The sequence below is a fragment of the Homo sapiens genome, chromosome 11, assembly GCF_000001405.40.
Source record: "Homo sapiens chromosome 11, GRCh38.p14 Primary Assembly".
Taxonomy (NCBI): domain Eukaryota; kingdom Metazoa; phylum Chordata; class Mammalia; order Primates; family Hominidae; genus Homo; species Homo sapiens.
The window spans coordinates 95,206,866-95,229,985 of NC_000011.10; the positions used below are offsets into that span (position 1 = coordinate 95,206,866).

The window sequence follows — 23,120 nt, forward strand, 5'->3', positions numbered from 1 at the left end:
GCTCACTGTAACCTCCACCTCCCGGGTTCAAGCATTTCTTCTGCCTCAGCCTCCCGAGTAGCTGGGACTACAGAGGCATTTTTTTTTGTATTTCTAGTAGAGACGGGGTTTCACCATCTTGGCCAGGCTAGTCTTGAACTCCTGACCTCGTGATCCACCCGCCTCAGCCTCCCAAAGTGTTGGGATTACAGGCATGAACCACCACGCGCGGCCAACATTACTACTTTTTAAGTACTGAAAGGACATCTGTGAACACCAGAGGCCTGCACTAGGCATTCTAAGTTTAAAACACTTACTTCCAAATCAAAGAAATCAACCAACCAATCAGTATGTACCAATTAAATTCATTGTTAAGCAGCTTATGTAATAGCTCTTTTAAGAACAGAAAGTACAAAAACTGCCTAAAGGGGTTTACAAACTACTTGGTAAAATTAGATATAGACACCCAAAGAGTAATAAACAAAGTAATATATACCTGAATGCTAGAGGTAAGGTGATACGATGAAAAAGGTACTAAAACCTGAGTTATTTTCCCTTCTTAGCACTGAAAGGATCAGAGCTTTGATCATTTTTCAAGGAATTAATTTTCACATTTAAAAAATGAGAGACATTCCGTGGGGCCTTTTTGCATTAACATTCTATGGTTATACAGAATGCTGTGAAAGATTCTAAATGCTGGTAGAAAGTTTTCAGAAAGAAAATAAGCTAAATGCTTTAAAATTACTTTCCCATTATTTTGCTAGTTTAAAAAATGTTTTATTTTAAAAATAATTTTACTTAACCTATTAATAAACTGATACGTTCTGGATTTTTGGTAAAATGTTATAAAACCAAGATTAGAAAAAGGTCTATTGTAGATATATATCATATAATATCATATAATTTACATAATTTAATAGCAGAAGAACTGTAATTTTAAATATGTCTAAAATTCTCTTCAATGTTCTATACTATATGTTTTTTTTGTTTTGTTTTGTTTTGTTTTTTTTGTAGAGACTGGGTTTCATCATGTTGCCCAGGCTGGTCTCGAACTCAAGAGTTCAAGTGATCCACCTGCCTGGGCCTCCCACAGTGCTGGGATTATAGGCGTGAGCCACCACACCCAGCTAATTTATGTTCTTCATAAATGATCCAGTGAACAAAGCATACCATACTCTAAAAAAAAGAAATAATAATAATCTATTTATTGTCAGGATTATGGTATTCAATGATTTTCTTCTTTCCTTAGTTTTTTAAAAAAAATGAATCAAGGGATTATTTTAAGGTATTTTATGTAAATGGTGAGAGTAGTCTTTTAAATAATCTTTATATGAATAACCTTTATAATCTAGTAGTATGAATAACTTTTGAAAGTCCTCCAAAATAATGTATGGACTTGTCCTCACATATTTTTATTTTAGAAATATATTAAATAATTTTAGCTCCAGCACGAAGTATTACTGGTCCTGTATATATTAGTGAGGTTTAACTTTATGTAACTGTTTTGTAGAGAGTTCATATAATCATGACAGGACTTCAAATACAGCTGTTCCTTCCCAAGAATGTAATCTCCAAAAAATACATTTTTTTCTAAAAGAAGAGCTGCATGATCATCAGTGTGCGAAATGTGTTTATAACTATCAGAGCATATGGGTTGGCTGGTAGGTAGTAATTCCTCACTTAAATGGCTACCATTGACTTTCTTCACAGAATTGAAAGAAACTACTTTAAATTTCATATGGAACCAAAAAAAGCCCATATAGCCAAGATGATCCTAAGCAAAAAGAGCAAAGCTGGAGGCATCATGCTACCTGGCTTCAAACTATACTACAAGGCTACAGTAACAAAAACAGCATGGCACTGGTACTAAAACAGATATATAGACCAATGGAACAGAACAGAGGCCTCAGAAATAACGCCACACATCTACAACCATCTGATCTTTGACAAACCTGACAAAAACAAGCAATGAGGAAAGGATTCCCTATTTAATAAATGGCGTTGGGAAAACTGGCTAGCCATATGCAGAAAACTGAAACTGGACCCCTTCCTGATACCTTAAACAAAAATTAATTCAAGGTAGATTAAGGACTTAAACATAAGACCTAAAACCATAAAAACCCTAGAAGAAAAGCTAGGCAATACCATTCAGGACACAGGCATGGGCAAAGACTTCATGACTAAAACACCAAAAGCAATGGCAACAAAAGCCAAAATAGACAAATGGGATCTAATTAAACTAAAGAGCTTCTGCACAGCAAAAGAAACTATCATCAGAGTGAACAGGCAATCTACAGAATGGGAGAAAATTTTTGCAATCTATCCATCTGACAAAGGGCTAATATCCAGAATCTACAAGGAACTTAAACAAATGTACAAGAAAAAAACAACCTCAACAAAAAGTGGGCAAAGGATATGAACAGACACTTCTCAAAAGAAGACATTTATGTGGTCAACAAACATATGAAAAAAAAGCTCATCATCACTGGTCATTATAGAAATGCAAATCAAAAACACATGATTAAATCATGATCATTAAAAAGTCAGGAAACAACAGATGCTGGAAAGGATGTGGAGAAAATAGGAATGCTTTTACACTGTTGGTGGGAGTGTAAATTAGTTCATCTATTGTGGAAGACCGTGTGGCGATTCCTCAAGGATCTAGAACCAGAAATACCATTTGACCCAGCAATCCCATTAGTGGGTATATACTCAAAGGATTATAAATCATTCTACTCTAAAGACATATGCACATGTATGTTTACTGCAGCACTATTCACAATAGCAAAGACTTGGAACCAACCCAAATGCCTATCAATGATAGACTGGATAAAGAAAATGTGGCACATATACACTATGGAATACTATGCAGCCATAAAAAAGGATGTTTGGCCAGGCGTGGTGGCTCACACCTGTAATCTCAGCACTTTGGGAGGCTGAGGCGGGTGGATCTCCTGAGGTTAGAAGTTTGAGACCAGCCTGGCTAACATGGCGAAACCCCGTCTCTACTAAAAATACAAAAATCAGCCGGGTGTGGTGGTGTGCACCTGTAGTCCCAGCTACTCTGGAGGCTGAGGCAGAAGAATCGCTTGATTCCAGGAGGCGAAGGTTGCAGTGAGCCAAGAACACGCCATTGCACTCCAACCTGGGCAACAAGAGTGAAACTCCATCTCAAAAAAAAAAAAAAAAAAAAAAAAGAAGGATGAGTTCATGCCCTTTGCAGGGACATGGATGAAGCTGGAAACCATCATTCTCAGCAAACTAACACAGAAACAGAAAACCAAACACCGCATGTTCTTGCTCATAAGTGGGAGGTGAACAATGAGAACACATGGACACAGGGAGGGGAATATCATACACCGGAGCCTGTAGGGGGTTAGGGGAGGGATAGCATTAGGAGAAATACCTCAGGTAGATGACAGGTTGATGGATGCAGCAAACCACCATGGCACATGTATACCTATGTAACAAACCTGCACGTTCTTCTTGCACATGTATCCCAGAACTTAAAGTACAATTAAAATATATATGTATATGGCACTCTACCTTGAAAAAGAAAATTGCTTATGGAAGTGGTTACTGCAAGGCCTACAGCCTGTAAGTTATGAAGCAGCAGAAGGATGATCTGAAATAAGACGTAACAATGTAACACCAGATATGAATGGATGGAGCTCATAATACACTGGTGAACTAAGGTGGAGGGTAGATGTTTGAAGTATGTATCCTAATACACAAAATTCACTGATATGCTCAAATCATTCCCTAATACATCAATTAAAACAAATTTTCATTAAGTGTTACAGCAGAACTGTGAGCATTTTGCATTCTACCACTACATCACTTAAGCATAGCTCTTATTAAAACAGAAAGGAAGACTAAAGAAACTTATTATTCCAATATACTAGATTCAAGACTCTTTAATAAACAGTTTGTATTTTTAAAAAGTTAATTTGACAAAGTTCACAGGCAAGATAAAGGGAATGAGAAAAACCCAAACTTGGTAAATCTGCTTTTAATTAGGACATAGAGTTCAGTATAAATAATACTCTATAAACATTCTTCTTTATATCAAAGGTTTGGCCAGACTAAAAAAAAGGAAAAAACAAAAGCAGCTAGTTTACAATTACACTTGCATTATGTGAAAAATTCAGAGAAAAAGATACCCAGTTTTATCAAGAGAAATGATAAGATGCTCTGACACAATTATAGTGGAAAAGAATAATAAATATCCCAGATAATCATTAATTACTTCCTGGTGCATAGAAAAGTATTCCAGTTCATGCAATCATGTAAACAAGCCAATCATAGCTTCATGTAGAAACTTGGGGCATCTCACCCTCTTTATTCTAGAAAGCCTGTCTCTCACTGCCCCTCGTTGTTCATTCTGTTCCAGAATACAACTTCCAAGTGCACTGCATGGTGTGCAGTGTCCTCTTCCCCTGGACTGTGAGTATATGTGACTAATAAACCACTGTTGATCTCATCTGTCCAGTGTTAGGTATTATACGTTCAGCCACCCCCATGACCCAAGAGTGGCAGTCCCTCCCACAGCAGTGGGTGAATAGAAGGCTATTAAAATAGGCAGTGAGAATATTATATGAATAAATATCTGTAAAGCTCTTAAGAGTGTGACATCATCTATACAACTATAAAAGGCTCATGCCTATAATCCCAGCACTTTGGGAGGCCAAGGCGAGTGGGCCACGAGGTCAGGAGTTTGAGACCAGCCTGGCCAATATGGTGAAACCCCATCTCTACCAAAAAAAAATACAAAAATTGGCTGGGCATGGTGGCGCACGCCTGTAGTCCCAGCTACTCAGGAGGCTGAGGCAGGAGAATCACTTGAACCCGGGAGGCGGAGGTTGCAGTGAGTCGAGATCACACCACTGCACTCCAGCCTGGGTGACAGAGCAAAACTCCGTCTCAAAAAAAAAAAGTAACTGCTGTTATTAGAATTATGCAATACTGAGTTCCTTAGTATAACACAACTAGACAACATGTTTAGAAATTGTCTTACAAGCTAAAGAAAAGATTTACAGAATAGGCTGGGTTTAGAAAACTATCAATTGGCTCAAAGTAGGTCATTAATTCGATATTTTGTTCAACAAATGACCCATCCTATTAGAAATGGAAAATAAAATTGGAAAGTAAAGCCACTTAAGTAAAAAACACCCATTTATAAAATAACTGGTTATAGATACTCTATAATGTTATCTATAACACATTTTGCATTTTTGAGAATTCAAATATATATTTTTAAAAATCATTAAAAATAGTCCACTGAAACCACATACCTAAGCCTTAAACATAAGAACAAGTATTTAATATTTAACTACCCTTCTTTTCCATACAGTAATGTATTAAATTAACTGAAACATTATCCATGCTTTCACAAGTGAAGATACATAATAATCTATTAACCTCTACAAAAAGTCAAAAGGTATAGTTTTCCATTTTTAGCTATCTTTATAATTATTTAGAAAACATCTTTCTCTCTAACCACAGAGTAAGCTCTCTAAAACCTAGGACAGACTCCATACACCTTTTTTAAGTCTTCAAAAATCCTAGCATACATATTAATTAAATAATTCTAAAATTACATTATATTATAAAGTAGCCATCTTTTTCTATTTCAGTTCCTAATAGATAATATCTCTAGATTAACACACAGTGCTCAGATTATATATTTAAATTCCTGAAATTTATACAGTAAGTTTTATTATCTACCATATGGTATAAAAGTAGAGCAATACAATTGCAGCTATCTCTTGAATTCATAATTAAGGAAACAAACTAATATTCTGATGAAATATTAATAAGCACATCAGATTCCTAAAGAGAATGATTGATATGACAACATAAAAAAATATGCTATAGATAGGCACAGTACCTTCATTCATTTCCAGATTGTATTGATCTATGTCTACGCATCTGAGCCCTCATTAGCCTCCTACACACACATTATTATTCCCTTGGTGATTTACCCATAGCTACTTTGGATATCTATTAAACCTGTGAACATTTGTCTTTATCTCAATGCATCTTTAATTTGCCATCTCATTTGAATCTGCTCTCTGTACTATCCATCACTTAAATTATCTCTTCTTCTCTATTATTTCAAATCAGTAATAGCTTTTTAAACTTTTATAAAATATGTGTTTATTGCTAAAAACAAAGGACAATGAAGTAGATGGTAAAAATAATCTCCTGTAACCCCACCACCCAGAAATTAATACTGTTAATTTTGGATTCCTTATTTATCTTTTTTTAAATGAAAACAAAAATCTTCATAGTCCTAAAAAATAAAAAAAAACCTTGGTCTTTTCCAATCAATAACATATTGTGGATGTCTGTCCACTTCTATACATAGATCAGTTGCCCAGTATTCCACTGTATTTATGTCACATAATTTGTTTAACCAATTCCCTCATTAACAGTAACCTCAGAGTATTAAGCATTTACTGATGATATTTTAAAGATGAGAGCTGATTCAATTGAAAATGACCCCTATACTGAGATAAGATTTAGTCAAGGGGCAAACAACTTTACAAAGGAAAAAGACAAAGTAAGATTACCGATGACAATGTGGTCTTATTCTCTAGCTTCTAATATACAGCACTGTCATTGACCTTTACTGAAAGCTAGGTGAACAAGCAGCTAGAATCAAAGGGCTCTGCCTTTAAGTAAGTGTGGATGCAAAAGAGAACAAGGGAGGCAGGCTGCCAGTGGAGTCTTTTAAATAGGATAGGTGATCTGTAGACCCCAAATCGTAGGAGTTGGCTGAAAAAAAACTGGCATAATTTGTTAAGCTTTTATTTTTAATCGTTATTGCTTCCAGTGTTCCATGAGATAGCTCTGTTTAAATGTAATTATGAATGACCCATAATTTAGTCAGTATTTTTATTCTTTATGAGAGTAAAATTACAACCAGAGCTAGGCAACTCTTTTTTTCTCAGGCATGGACCCAATCCTATATCTAAGCTTCTCTAGTTCTCTATCAATCTGAAGATAATAATTATCATTCATTAATTCAGAGAAGGAATTCGGTAACATTTCAAAATACTCAAATAAAAAGTCCTATGTAAAAAAGAAAAAAGAAAAAAAGATAAAAGTTCTGCTACCTTAACCAGTCATGCAATAACTGACAGGAAATATTCTCATACCTTACTTTTGCCATACTGCTATTTTAGACCATGAAAATGCTTTTTAAATTTTCTTTTTTCATGAGATTCAAAGTCAAAAGCTGACTGTCCATTGCCATGGAGACAGTTCTATTTAAGGTACTATATTAGCCCTTTCCTCACAGAAGGATAGAAAAATGGTCACTAGAAAAGCATCACCTACCATGGTTTAGAATTAAGTAATTACATATGCTTCTGGGGCAGCCCATGCGTAAGGAACTTTGGAATTAAAGTGGGGTAATTTAATACAGCCTGTTATTCACATAAGTAACATCAATACAGGTTAAATTGTAGTATTAACTTAGAGGTAATATGAGGAAAACACCCATTACCTCAAAATTAGATACAACCAAAGAACAAAATAAAATGACTTATAGTTACTGTCCTAGATAGAACTGCAACTAACTGAAACAATCTTTGCTTTTCAAAGAGCAATCTTCTATTTACCTATGGTCCATATATAATACACATGGCTTGGGTTTCTTCTGTTTCAATTTGTAGGCCTCCTGTCTCCAAATGGAGACTTTCTGACACTCCATTTTTAATTGAAGAGTAAGCTACTATAGGTGAAAGAGAACATCCATAATTTATATATATATATGTATTTAATATTGTCCAAGAGATTCAAAAGAATTTTTAAAAAACAACATATCAATCCCAAATCTGTCATCAGGACAAATGTTATCATTTCTTCTTTGATTAAAAAAAGTTTTCTTTATGAAAGCTTAAAATATCAATCTTCCTTGAAATAAAAATAATCTAAGATGGAAAGACCTACCAGAGTCTACCAATGTTAGTGCCAAAACGCTTATTTTTATGTAAGCAAGCACGTCCAAGAGATATTTTCACTTGATTTGTCGTAAACAAGCTTTCAAAACCCAATTCCTTTTTCCCCAAGCTAAAGTTCAGAATGTAGCAACAATAAAATAAGACATATTTTTCTTACAGTGAGAGCATATTATATCTGAAGGTCTCAAATCTGCATTTTGTAAAATAGGCAAAAGGAATCTTCCTGATTCTAGCACTGGCGCTGCCAATATCATCTCAAACAACTGATAATGCATGTTGAAACTGAAGTGGATGTAAACAATTTTCATTTGTGGAAGCATTTGGTTAATACTACTAGACTGGTGGTACTAAATTCTTAGAGTATTAGAATCACCTGGAAGGCCTGTTACACTACAGATGGTTGGGTCCCATCCCCAGAATTTCAAAAGATTCAGCAGGTCTAGGGGTGGGGGGTGGGGTAATAATCTAACAAACTCCCAGTTGATACTGATGCTGCTGGTTCTAGAACCACACTGCAGAACCATCGTCCTAGACATGAAACAAACTGATTTGCCTACGGAATTGTTATTCTTTGCTGGTTAATACTTCAACCTTTCTCAAAATGAAACATTTTAAATAAAACGATAGCTACGGTCTGGGGGAGGGGAAGTAGGAACAGTCAATCATAGCAATTTGGGAAAGATATTAATTCAATGAAGACCGAGTTGATTCCTAAAAATTGTTATCTAGTTTGGTGTACTGCTGAATTACAATGACATTCAGGAAAGTAAATACCTGACATGTAGTAAACGGTCTGTGTCCCCTATGAATTCAACTGACCTTGACAAACAAATATCTATCATAAAATAATGAAGAGGAACTTAGTATTTGAATGTGAATTTTTCCTAGAAATAACTGTAAACCAATTATGTGTCACACATGCTCTAGAAAAGGTATGTATCAAGTTTCTGTGAATCCAATCTAGCTTTTCCACTGATTTATGTCTTCATTTTAGAAATCCTTGGCCGGGCGCGGTGGCTCACGCCTGTAGTCCCAGCACTTTGGGAGGCCGAGGCGGGCGGATCACGAGGTCAGGAGATCGAGACCATCCTGGCTAAAACGGTGAAACCCCGTCTCTACTAAAAATACAAAAAATTAGCCGGGCATGGTGGTGGGCGCCTGTAGTCCCAGCTACTTGGGAGGCTGAGGCAGGAGAATGGCGTGAACTCGGGAGGCGGAGCTTGCAGTGAGCCGAGATCCCGCCACTGCACTCCAGCCTGGGCAACAGAGAGAGACTCCATCTCAAAAAAAAAAAAGAAAAAAAAAAAAAAAGAAATCCTTTATCTTAAATTGATTGATATACAATAGACAGCACACTGCATTTTAGTTTCTAAGTGCTCTACACCTTCTGTCAAATAGTTGATGATCCATAAACAATAAAATGTGTTAAGATGACTATAAAGGTAGAACAAAAAGAAATGGCCTTTTATAGTAACAATGGACTCCTCTTTGACAGTCATGTAATGTATACCTATCACTGAAAAGGAAATGGACAGGTTAGGACTGCTAGAGGACATATTACTTCATTTTTGTGATATCATGGCACTTTTTATGAATGATAACACAGTAGTTTATTAAATGCAAAATTTACTAAATATACACTGTCACAATGAGTTCAAATTTTAGTAGCACTCTAAAATGAAAAATGAAATGCTTCAGCACATTGATGGCAACATTCTAGGTAATTTCTTATTCAGTGTTTTTAAAAATCCAATTGTTTCTATAAATAATCTATATCTAACTACAAATGGAGTTATATCATTGAGGTGCTTATTATCAATTCATTCCATTTTCCACTGTGACAAATATGTTTTCCACAACAGCTCTAATAAAAATCTAATAATTAGTAAAGGAAGTAAGATAAAATCACATAGATATTAGCAATAATTAGTAAAGGAGGCAAGATAAAAAAAAAAAACCACACAGATGTCTTGTAGTTTAAAAGTTTAACATCAATTAAGAGTAAAATACTGGCCAGGCATAGTGGCTCACACCTGTAATCCCAGCACTTTGGGAGGCTGAGGCAGGTGGATTATGAGGTCAGGAGTTCGAGACCAGCCTGACTAATATGGTGAAACCCTGTCTCTACTAAAAATACAAAAACTAGCTGGGTGTGGTGGTGCATGCCTGTACTCCCAGCTTCTCAGGAGGCTGAGGCAGGAGAATCGCTTGAACCCTGGAGGTGGGGGTTGCAGTGAGCCACGATCATGTCACTGCACTCCAGCCTGGACAACAGAGCAAGACTCTGTCTCAAAAAAAAAAAAAAAAGTAAAATATTTTCCACTACTATATGCTTATACATCATGTGAATTTGTTTTTTAAAACCACATGTGTTTAGACTAGTGATACTTCACAAGATAAAAGACAGATAAGAAAGGTCACCCATATCAATGTATGCTTTTTGTGCATTTAATTCTCCCATATGTAATCATAAAACTGCACAACTATAACAAGAGTTAGTCAGGGGACTCCCTGTCAAATATAATTTGAAGCATACATTATTAAACTACTTAACTGTCAGCCACTGTAGCTCATGCCAGTAATCCCAGCACTTTGGGAGGCCAAGGTGGGTGGATCACTTGAGGTCAGGAGTTCAAGACCAGCCTCGCCAACATGGTGAAATCCCCGTCTCTACTAAAAATACAAAAATTAGCCGGGCACGGTGGTGGGCACCTGTAATCCCAGCTACTTGGGAGGCTGAGGCAGGAGAATTGCTTGAACCCGGGAGGTGGAGGTTGCAGTGAGCTGAGATGGTGTTGCTGCACTCCAGCCTGGGCGACAAGAGCCAGACTCCGTTTAAAAAAAAAAAAAAAAAGCTTAATTGTCAATCCTCATTTCAAAGGAAGAATTCTGACTGAATAGGGCTTGAATCTTGCACACTGCACTAGTTATGTCATGGCTTGATCTGGGTATCATTAGATCCCAACCATGGAACGCATCATATACTGATGCTTTCACAAATGTGCAACCTAGATAATGGTGCCATATTACTTACATTGATTAAATGCTCAGTGTGCAATTTTAAAAGATTATCCCTATAAAAAGTATTCTGAATGACTTGATTTTCCATTTTTAAATTACTGACATCCACCACTTCTGCTCATCAGAGGAAGGGTTTGTTTCTGCTGAATAATCTTCCTCTCACAACACTCTCCAACACCAACACTCACATATTCCTGCATCAGGTACCACCTTTGTCCCCTCTGGAGTAAGTGTAGGTTCATTTATTACATGACACATTTCTTGAGCACCACTATGCTAATGTTGGTTGGGGAAGGTAGGTAGAGAATTAGGATTTTAAGACAATAAGACAATTAGTTCAAAGCTTTACAATTACTTACTATAGAAGAACTACTGTGCTTATGTGTATGGCCTGTAAGCCCAAAATATTATTACCCAGCCCTTTACAGAAAGTTTACCAAATCCTACTCTTGACTGTAGTGTCAACTGGGAGGCATAACCTTGAAGATCTCTAAGAGACCCAGGCATAAGTTGCAAGTCATCACGCTACGTAGGTAAAAACTCTGATGTTCTCATTCTAAGTCTGTTCAGTGCCTAACAGGTGAGAGCACTTAATGTTTCCAAAATACACAAACTAATTAAAGATATTCATATAGTATTCAGTGATTTATAAATGTTTATAGCCTTAACATTTCTTGCCTAAGAATCTGAAGGCCAGGAAAAGGTAATAGCATCTGACATAGAATTCTGATAAGCATAAAATAGCAATCTGTATAATTTTACAAAAAAAACTGTTTCTACATTCCCATCTACCTAAACATAGATTTACCCTCTTTTTTTTTTTTTTTTTTTTTGAGACAGCATCTCGCTCTGTCGCCCAGGCTGGAGTGCAATGGCGCGATCTCAGCTTACTGCAAGCTCCGCCTCCCGGGTTCACGGCATTCTCCTGACTCGGCCTCCAGCGTAGCTGGGACTACAGGCGCCCACCACCAAGCCCGCTAATTTTTTGCATTTTGTTTAGTGGAGATGGGGTTTTACCGTGTTAGCCAGGATGGTCTCGTTCTCCTGACCTCGTGATCCGCCCGCCTCGGCCTCCCAAAGTGCTGGGATTACAGGCGTGAGCCGCCGCACCCGGCCATATTTACCCTTATTTTTAAGAGCACCAAATACTAAATAGGTTTCTTGTATAATCAAAAGAATACTTACTAGTTTATGCACATTTTGAGTGTTCAATAATGCACTTTGCCTAAAGAATATTACAAACTAGAGCTTTAGTTATTTTTAATAGCTACACAATATAAAAATTAATCTCAGGAGGTTAATTATATAGGTCATACTCTATTAAAACAATAAAACTACAACACAAATAGGTATTCCACACCCCAACTGAGAATTCATTAATTTCAAGTAACGTACAAAACAGTTTTGATAAAATAATTTGAACATTACATGGAATTTAGTGCTAAGGTATCTTACTTTAGCTTAAATGCCTTTTATTTTTATTAGTTTTAAGTTTTTTTTTCTTTACTGGAGCACATTTGCTGGACTGACTTGTTTTACTTTACTAATTTACACCAAAAAATTAAGATATACATATTAAATGTCTAATTTTATATCAAAGAGGAACTTTCTGGGTAGGTAAAACATGATTTCTTTTTCATCTGTGTTACCTTAAAGACAAAAATAAATAATAACAAATATGCCACCCCACTTAAAATTCACCATGCTGAGCCCAAACCTTGGTCAATACAAAGTGAACAAGGATAAGCCAGTTTGATATTGGCCATCAGTTGTCCCAACACCCTGCTTATTATTACCCAACTTTATCTCTTTCTTCATTCAACTCCTACCTAAATATTGGATGGAACTTCATTAACACAGTTTTCCTATTAGACACAGCACAACCGACAAGCACATCCTTGGAGTAAACATATTGAAAAATATTTTTTTTTTTGCCAAAATCATTACCTTTTTAATGCTGAGTAAACAAGTTAGGAAAGACAGTCTCTAGTGAAGCGGTTACTTGAATTTCAGGATATATGTTCCTCTGGAAACGTTATACCCAGTGGTTAGGTTTCTAGGCTAATTAACAAATGCCTGAACATACCTGTAATATTAACAGTACTCTGGAACTTAACCACATATCTTACTGTGTTTCTATGGAAAACTCTCAGAATAAGAGTTCTAACTTAAAATAAATAGCAGAACCACATCTCGCCATAAATCCCTCTCCCCAGCACAAACCCTTTGTTAAGACTGGAAACTCTTCCAGAGATGTAGATTCTGTAGACTATAGGGGATGTAGGTAGGGGAATGATAACAGTCCAAGGGTTTCTTTGCTTCCTTTAATCAAAATTTTTGTCTCAACATATAATGAAAGCCAAATGAGTGGTGGAAATGAGCATTCATGTTATTATTTATCTTCATAAATAATAGTTTTACTGAAAAAAATTTACCAAAAAGTAAGAATATTTCTTAGAGGTCCAATTCGCGAGACACATACTTAAAATGTTTCCAGATAATATCTTTTGTCACAGACACTAGAGCAGTATTAAATGATTCAATGTTATTGAACTAATTAATGACTGGTTGGCAGGAGGGGGAGGGCAAAGTATGCTGGTAAGTTAGGAAAAAAAAATCCTGAGGTTAAGAAAGAATGGTCACATAATTAGGATTTACACAGATAAAAGAGATAACTATATAGGATAAAACTGTTCAATAAGAACTTTAATGTGTTTCTCAATAGATTTAATCTTATAAAATGATTTTTTGCATTTCTAATGTAAAAATAAGATACAATACAAATGAATTTGAAATCACTCCTATAAACTCTTGAATAATCACATCCTATTAAGTTTCATTAGTTTTATTTACACTTTATAACAGCCTTTCACACAAAGAAAAACATGAAATATAAGACAAGGCAGTGTTTATACCTGCATAATGAGCCAGGCTTTGGAGTTCAACCTGGTTGCAAATCCTAAGTCTGTCACTTACTGGTAATATAACCTTTAAGAAGTGAAGAATGCCCTGTGAGCCCTAGTTTCTTTATCCATAAACTGTGAGTAATAATTCATCGCAGGTTAATTGTGATGCTTGAATGTGATAACATATGTAGAGTTTAAATGCTTAGCACATAAGTAGTATTCAGTAGAAGCTATTGTCATTATAGATATTATAAAATGTGTTTTGAAAGTAAGAGTCACAGCCGGGCTGGGTGGCTCGTGCCTTTAATCCTAGCACTTTGGGAGGCCAAGGCAGGCAGATCACTTGAGGTCAGGAGTTCGAAGCCAGCGTGGCCAACATGGTGAAACCCCGTCTCTACAAAAAATATAAAAAATTAGCTGGGTATGGTGGTGGGTGCTTGTAATCCCAGCTACTTAGGAGGCTGAGGCAGGAGAATCGCTTGAACCCGGGAGGCGGTGGTTTCACTGAGCCAAGATGGCGCCACTGCACTCCAGCCTGGGTGACAGAGTGAGACTCCAAAAAAAAAAGGAAGTAAGAGTCACAGTTTCAGATAATTACAATGATCTTCCACAAAACCCAGCTTTAGTTACCCATGAGGTAAATGTGATCTTTCTAATATTTAGCATATATATTGATAACTGAAAAGACAAATTTCATTTCTTCAACTGACTAGTTCCATCTTCTCAGTATAGGAAGATGTAAAAATAAAATATGTATCTAGAAAGAAGAACATATCCTTCCACTACAAGTAGCTATTAATTAGCAGAGAATAAAAAGAAAATAAGTCTTACTAAAATACATATTTTATACTTGTTAAGAAGTCTCTGATGGTACAAGAAATAATACGGCCTTAAATCAGCCATTTTAATTTTTGGTCATATTTATTCACATATGATATTTTCAATACATTCTTTGTAAAACATAAGGTTAAATGCCTGTCATACCTTATTAGAAGTGTTGGGCAGCATAATGCAAGATATTTCAACCAGCCTAAATAGGAATAAAATATCTCATAATATTCATGTGTCCCTCAAGGGGCAGTCAATATACTGGCCCATAGACCAATAAATGACTCACTTCTGCGTGGATCTAAAAAGTAAAGGCTAGTTATGGGGTAGTCTGGGCCTATGAACAATTCTATTTCAAATTTACCAAGGGAGTGCCTGCTGGCCAAGGGGTTCATAGCTGGTTTGGGAGACTTTCAAAGTAAAGGGCTTGTGAGGAAGTGGAAGACTGAAAGGCTAAGCCAGAATTCTAGAGTCAAAACTGGAACCCTAGGCTCACCTAGAATCTTGGAAGTTTGAAGGTATACCCTTAACTACTCAAAAACAGCCATCCCTTATAAAACACTAACAGATTCCAAGAAGTGGAGCATGTGTCCATTTAAAAGCAATGGCCACTTTACATTTCTGAGAAAGGCCAGCAGCTAAGGCTGGTGTCTTGACCCTGTCTCTTGGTGGGACATTCTTGCTCCCTATTAGAATTTCCTTCAAAAGTGATGATATTTAATTGAAATATTTTCATGGCCACAAGGATAATGAAATGCTCGAAAGCAAAAACAAAGAAACAAAGAAGTCCAGGCACAAATGCATTATAAGATTATTTTCTCAAATAATCTTTGCTATTGCACTTCTGAAAGTGTTTCTTATAAAGAGAACAAAATAAAGCCATAGAAGAACAGACATATTTTGGAAAATGAGAAAAGTTTTCATATTATTGGCTATATTGTATCTAATATAAATATACTACTGATATTTTTAAAATAAATGTCTTTAAATCAAAATCCTATTTTGCTAACAATAAACTCTCCATTAACTAGATCCCAAATAAGAGGCAACCTAGTAGGAGAAAGGTTTATGTAATTGTTAATTATAATTCAGTATGCTAAGTGCAATAAATGCAGTGCAATTGAATATCATGGCAGTCCAGAGGATAGAAGGAGAAGGAAGAGTTGGAAGATTAGAAAAGGCTTTTTGGAAATGTCGTCAGACTTTTGAAGAACAGTCTTTCTTCAGATTTTTGAAAGACAAATAGGAATTCTATATGGTAACTACAGGTTTAGGTTATATAGGATATATATTTTAAATTGTTTAAATCACACAGGTTTAAGGAAACTGTTATGGGGACACATGACTAAACGTTTTGACTTGGTAGTGTATTTACTTTATATAGTGAATTCCACTTCCTCCCCGCCATCTGTACTCCTACCACAGTGATGTCTAAGGGACAAGTTAGATACAGCTAGTCACTTATAGGTCTCAGCAGATCTAATCAGACAGAGTAAATAGGCCCTTATGCTTATGCCTTCAAGACCACACTGAATGCAGGTAGTTGCTGGCTGTCATAGCTTTTGTGTATAGTGTACCACAATCCCCCCAACCCCACCCCCGCAAACCCACCACACACACACAATAGAAAGTCCACTATACCTTTGAGGATTTATTTAGGAACTCCCACATTCAAACAATGCTTGTTATCAGTACCCTGCATTAATAGTTCTGTCTCTTCTCTCTCTTTTCTTGTTCCTTCTGCTGCTGCTTCCCCCACACTTCTCAGCTTTCAAGCCAAACAGACTAACCTTGCTACTCAGGGTCCTTCTTTCCCTTGTAGCCAAGAACCAATCAATTTGGTATAATGGACATAATTTTTGGATTTGACCTTTCTTCAGCTGTTGCACAGTACTAAAGGAGAATATTCCTTCAAAGTGAAGGAACTTTGTTTTTTTCCCTCCCTGGTTTATATCAGAAAAAAGATGCTCATGAAAATTAGGGAAAGATCATTTCTAGTTAGCCAGTTACTGTGGTAATAGAGAAGCTTCTAGGATGTCACTGAAAAGGTGGTAGACAGCATCTGCAAGTGATACACACACCAAACAGAGGTAACTGAGTTGACTTTATCAATATTTTCTGTCAGTGGTATTAAGCTTTTTATTTTCCCCATAGAATTACACCATATACTGGCATCAGTAGTAACTCTGGCTCAGTAGTTCGTAAATGTCTTGGTCCTGGAACCCCTTCATAAATGTCTTGGTCCTGGAACCCCTTCGCACTCTTAAAAATTATTGGGGACCCCAAAGAGCCTTTGTTTATGTGTGGGTTATAACTGCCCATATTTACTGTATTAGAAATTAAACCCGAGAAAACTCTGAAATGTTTAATTCATTTAAAATAGTAATAAAATCTATTACAAAATAATATAAATCACATATTTTTTGGAATAATTGTATTTTCCAAAACATAAAAAGTGAGAAGAGTGACATTTACATTTTGCAAATCTCTTTAATGTCTATTTAATACAAGACAGCTGAATTTTCCCCAATCTGTTGTGATGTGTTTTGATTGAACTATGCGTGAAAAATCGAACCTGACATAGCTACATAGTTGGAAAAAGAAGATAAGTGTGAATATTTTTCTTTGATACCACACTAAAACTCAACAAGTATTCTTCTTAAAGGTTAATTGCAATGTATCTGAAATCATATCCATGACCTCAACAGTTTATATCATATTAAAATCCACTTGTACATTTTGCGGTTTAAATGGATTTTACCCATATATGATTCTGATAAACATTTCCTCAAAAATAAGCAAAATGATCCTGAAAACTAGAGGAAAACAACTGACAACAATCATTGTCAGTGATAAAAAGAATGGTCAGATCCAAAGATTACCTTGTCCATTATGCTCTAATTGGCTGCTCTTGGCTGAAAAGGAAAGAAAGACCCCAATTAATAATGTCTTTCTCTGTTGGTCAATTGAAAAATATTGGCTCAATGAGTTATGTAAATCTTTCAAATACTGACAAATTTTATTGCAGATTATCAAAAAGTTACATCCACTAATATCATACTTGATCTCAAGGGGACAGCCTTTAAGAACCAGGAAGCTTTAAGGCTACTGGTGACAGATACATATTTTCAAAAATTCTAATTTTTCCCTGAAAGCTTGAATTTTATCACTGGCAGCAAATAGTGTCAATTAGTTTCCTTGAATTTTCAGGGTCATACTACTCATTTATAAGATAATGTTTATCAAATGCCCAGGTCTGAGTAACCAAAGTTTGTCTGACAGGTGTTATTTCAAGTAAAAATGGGGTTACATGAAAAAAGTGGCTAGTTCAGCTTGCAACTAAAACAACTGCACAAGTTTTCTCCTTGAGCCAACCAGTTTGCTATGCAATGGATGCACTTTATACGCATTCCATTTTGTCATACGGGGTATTAAAAAGATGCACACAAAAAGGTCAAGCTTTAACAAAATTTAAATTTTCACTGCTTCTTCAAGGACATTCAGTGATATTGAAATTTTTTCCCCATTGTTCAATGTGCAGTGGTAAAGAACACAGTGATAACGGTTTGGTGCCACTAACCTGATTAATACTAAGGGGCTAGCATAGTTTTACCCCCACTGCTTTTGCTCTCAGTGAAGAAGGCAAATAAAGTCTTTGTATAATTATGAACACAGTTTTGACCTCTCAGGCCTTTTGAAAGGGTTTTGGACCCACAGGGATCCAAGGACCATACTTTGAGAACTGCTGCTTTATCTTATTAAGGAATTAGCCAAACAACTGTTAGAGAGATAAAAGTGACCAGCTTACTCTTCTCCTACTCCTTCAGTTAATCTACAATAGTATTTAAAGTATGGCTAACTTTCATGTTTCCAACCAATATTACCTGGAGAATCTTCGGTATCTTTGGGCATTCCACAGATGGTGAAGCTGGGAGTAGGGATATTCCCTAGCAGCCTCAATATTGCAGAGGACAATTAGAAACAGCTTATTACAAAGGCAGTATTAAGAATTAAATGGATTTCTTTGTTATTAGTTGTATGACTGAGACCAGGCCACTTAAATCTTCTCAGTTTGTGAGAATCAACTGAAATAATGTGAAAGCACCCTAAAAACTGTGAAGGTCAATACACACTTAAGTTATTATAATCCAAATATTTCAAAGGAAGAAAATGAAAAGGCTGAAGAGATGGGGAGAAAAGGTTAAAAGACTTTTACTTCCATCTCTTCTCCTAAACTAATTAAAAATTTTTGCTTTACCCTAGATTTACCACCCCCCCTTTTATTAAGCACAATTTTCCTTAACTCTTAGTCTTTTCAAACTAAATACCAATTCCCCTTATTTGCTGAAGTGTCAAGGAGGCAATTTAATTATTCGAGAATCAAAAGTCAATGCCTTGCTATTTAAGTGCAGGGGTGGGAAAGGGGCAGGGAATACAGACAGAAATATGGAAATCAAAAATAAGTAAAAAAAAAAAAAAAAGTCATTCTGACTAAAAGCATAATCTTTACCTCTCATTTACAGGCAATAATTAAACAGGACAGAAAAGTGAGTATTAACCAAATTACTCAGTATGTATTGAAATATATTCCCATAAGACGGAAAGAACTAACATAGTCTGGGAAAATGGAAAAATATATGGACTTGTCCTTTTCTTTCTTACACGGTTTATAAAGTTCATTAACACACATCTATCTCTCTCCAACTATACAGCAATCTGTAAGGCAAGTAAAAATTATCAACATTTTACAGAGAAAACTCTGCTTTGAAATCAAAAGATCTGTTAAAGACCTAACTGCAACCACATCTGTGGCTTCCAGTATCACTACATTAGTAGTTATGTTTTCTATTTATTTAGGGTGGGGAGTTGGGGGAAGCAGCAGAACACTTTTTACAAATTAAATCTTCTATTGAACCTGAACTATAAAGCATATAAATATACCAAGCAACTTTCAAGTATTTTAGTAATAAAGTTACAACTACTGATAACAATAAATTTGTGTTCTCACAAGTAAACATTTAACTTAAGTAAATATGGAAGGAATTCTTTTTAAAAAGCCAGTTCCTTCACAATCAATGACAATCTTTCTCATACATGACACAGTAACAAAAAAAAATTCAAATATCTGTACAAAGATAGCAGAACAAATTGTAATTCAAGACCTGCACAAGAATAATTTTGTAATGAAAGATAATGGTGTTAGACTCCAGTTATTAAAATTATGTGTACATATTTGGGGGTACCCATATTTTTAAATTACAGTTTTAAAATAAGTTAAAACATACTTAAAAATTTAATGCAACTCAAGCATTTTAAAACCCCAAAGAATCTTAAGGGTCCATACGAAGCAGTTTGAAAACCATTGCATAAAGGTTTGCCATCACTAATTAACTACTTGATCTCTGCTTAGGATATTTAAGATAATCAAGTTAAAAACTGCCTTTGACAATCAAAAATATGTAACACAAGAAAACTGATTAACCAAGGCATAATGTAACTAGTGGTCCACAGATAGAGCAAATACATTTTATTGGCTAAACCATATAAAGTTGCTATTACTTAACAATTTTGACTATAAAAATGAGGCTCATATAGTTCAATCTAGTATTTTTCTTTTTTTTTTTTGTCTTTTTTTTTGAGACAGAGTTTTGCTCTTGTTGCTCAGGCTGCAGTGCAGTGGCGTGACCTTGGCTCACCACAACCTTGGCTCACCACAACCTCCGCCTCCCAGGTTCAAGTGATTCTCCTGCCTCAGCCTCCTGAGTAACTGGGACTACAGGCACACGATTCCACGCCCAGCTAATTTTTGTATTTTTAGTAGATATGGGGTTTCACCATGTTGGCCAGGATGGTCTCGATCTTTTGACCTCGTGATCTGCCCACCTTGGCCTCCCAAAGTGCTGGGATTACAGGCGTAAGCCACCATGCCCGGTCCTCAATCTAGTATTTTTCATTTTGACAGTATCTTTGTTTATAAAACCATCAAAAAGATGTCAAAATATATGATCATATAACAAAGTGAAAAGTGCAATAACAATACAAAGATATATCACTATAACTATCTTAACATTAAAAAAGTTTAAATGTTAGATCCTCTAAAGAGCACAAAACTATTCATTTAAGTAGCACTAACTGCTCAATACCCAAAGTACATTGGAATATGCCACTTTTTTATTTACTGGAAGATGAGTGGACTGATAATTACCTACCTTCCTCAATGCAGTTTGACACATGACTTTTCAAATTAAAGGATTATGTTCTTCTAGTTATCACTAGAATTTCTTCAAGTAAAAGATTAAACTTAAAAACTCGTTAACTTTACAAAATAAATAGAAGCATTTCCTCTTTTATTAAAAACTTTACTGAACTACCTCATTGACAATAGAGCAAGTTAGACTTAAGAGTTAGGGATTTCAGGATAGTTTTGATGGTTAATTTATTTATGGATATGGTTTACCTCTCCATTCTTTTTACTGTCCTAAGGTTACCAAATTAGGTACATTCAATATTTTAATAAGTCTCTTTATTTTGGAGGATACTAAATCAAAACCGTAAACGGACTTCTAAGAATAAATGTAATTCTCATACAATATATAATTCAATATTCAGGCATTGGGTTAAACCATATTATTTCATTTGAAGGTGAATTCCATTCCTTGTGAAGTTCCCCTAAAATTCAACACACTGCAACAAATTAAGCCACCTACTGAGAGAATAACACTTTCTGTCCCATATAAAGGTGACCCTTCTTCCATCATTATATAGAAATATAAAAGCAAAAGTAATTCACACTGGATGAGCATGAGTTTCATTCTTCCATTATGAATTAGACTGAACAAACATTCAAAATACTATGACTCACTTGGCTACATTACTGAACACTTTATTAAATGGAAAACAAGATAAACTCTAAGAATCACATTTTGAGAGTTATAGATGACTTTTAACTTAGAGTTATATCAACAAGAAAAACATGTCTTTATTAGAAATAAACTTTTCATTGTTATTTTAAGAATGATGAAACATTTAAAATGCTACATACTGATTCTCTTAAGAGCACTTCAAAGTGGCACTCTTTAAAAAGCTGCAAATGTTGCCAAGTCATGTTATAACTGGCTCAAAGAATCCTATTTCCATTAAGTTATTTCATGCCACTGCATGAATCAATATTAAATACCTTGGAGTTACTAAAAACTGGAATACTGGCAGAGATGTGCTCAGCAATTATAAAATACGAAAATGTGAATACTCTTTTTCCACGTTTCTTTTAATAATGGCTAGAAATGAGGATGTTCTTTCTAGGTAAACAGAAATAGTTTCCTAAAAGCTAAAGGAAAGATGTAATATCTTAAATGCTAGCAAAGTGTCATGGATCCATAGCCATAGCTCTCTCAAAAGAAAAATGAAATACATTTTGAAGCCTAATATTACCTCCAAACATTTTATTAGCCTAACAAATTGCCAGAGCCATTAAAAAATTTTTTTATCAAAGTCAATACAGTGCTCTTTTTCCTTATTCAATTAAAAAGCATAACTTGCTGTCATTTTAACCAGGCTGCACTTTAATCAAACATGTCTTAAATGACACATTTTTTCATGTCAAAGACATAACATAAATTTAAAAATTAAGAAATAAATTTTTTTGAAAGCTAAGTTCAGATGACATCTGGCCCTGCAGTGAAAGAGTTAACATCCAACTAAGCTGATCTGCACTTCTGATCCATTACATTTCTCACAAGCTACCCTACAATGAGCTGAGCAAGTATCAACTGTAATTTGATCCTAGAGTTTATGGAAAAAAATAACTGCACATACTCAACATGCACATTTAATAAAAATCTGTTTCAAGAGAAACATATCCAATAAACACAATTTAAGGCATATTTAACTGTTCAATTAACCTCAAATCTGCAATCCCTTTGCTCTCACGCTCTCAAATAAAATAGGAAGAAAAAAAAAAGCAGCAGCCCTACTGCAGGGAAAAGAGGCTTGAAAAACAACTTTGATTGGCACTTGGCCTGACCCACAGAGGAAGAAAAACAGTTTTTGGACAAAGAGCGCAAATATTTGAGCTTGCTTACTTATGTGCTTTTTTCTTTCTTCCTTTTTTAAAAAAAAATGTAGAAAGAACAATCCCAAAGTGAACCGTATTTAGAGATGTTGACTAAAAACGGTACCATATTCATCTCCGCTTTCAGTCCCGATGCATTTGCACAGCTCAGCAATTTTAATTCATTTGTAGTGAACAAACAGAAGCATCTCACCTAACGTTTCCACTTAATAAAATGTAAAAATAGAGTTTGAATACGAATAAACTGATTATAATATTACTTTGGGGCAGCTGTTAAAATCTGATCAAAAAGTCTAGAGACCTTTTTTTCATTCCCTTCCCCATCCCTCTCGCCCTTCCCCGCGG

General features: G+C 35.4%; 1 protein-coding gene across 4 annotated transcripts in view; it reads right to left on the reverse strand.

Moving 5' to 3' along the window:
- Nucleotides 1–23,120, reverse strand: part of SESN3 (sestrin 3) — a 66,963-nt gene that overhangs the window by 41,353 nt on the left and 2,490 nt on the right. Inside the window, exon 2 of one of the 4 annotated variants that reach the window (XM_011542614.2) lies at nt 17,587–17,619. The exons of the other annotated variants lie outside the window; for them this stretch is intronic. Within the exon in view, the coding sequence (XP_011540916.1) occupies nt 17,587–17,595 (9 nt within the window). The 5' untranslated portion in view covers nt 17,596–17,619. The remainder of the gene's footprint in view (nt 1–17,586; nt 17,620–23,120) is intronic. 4 annotated transcript variants of the gene reach the window in all.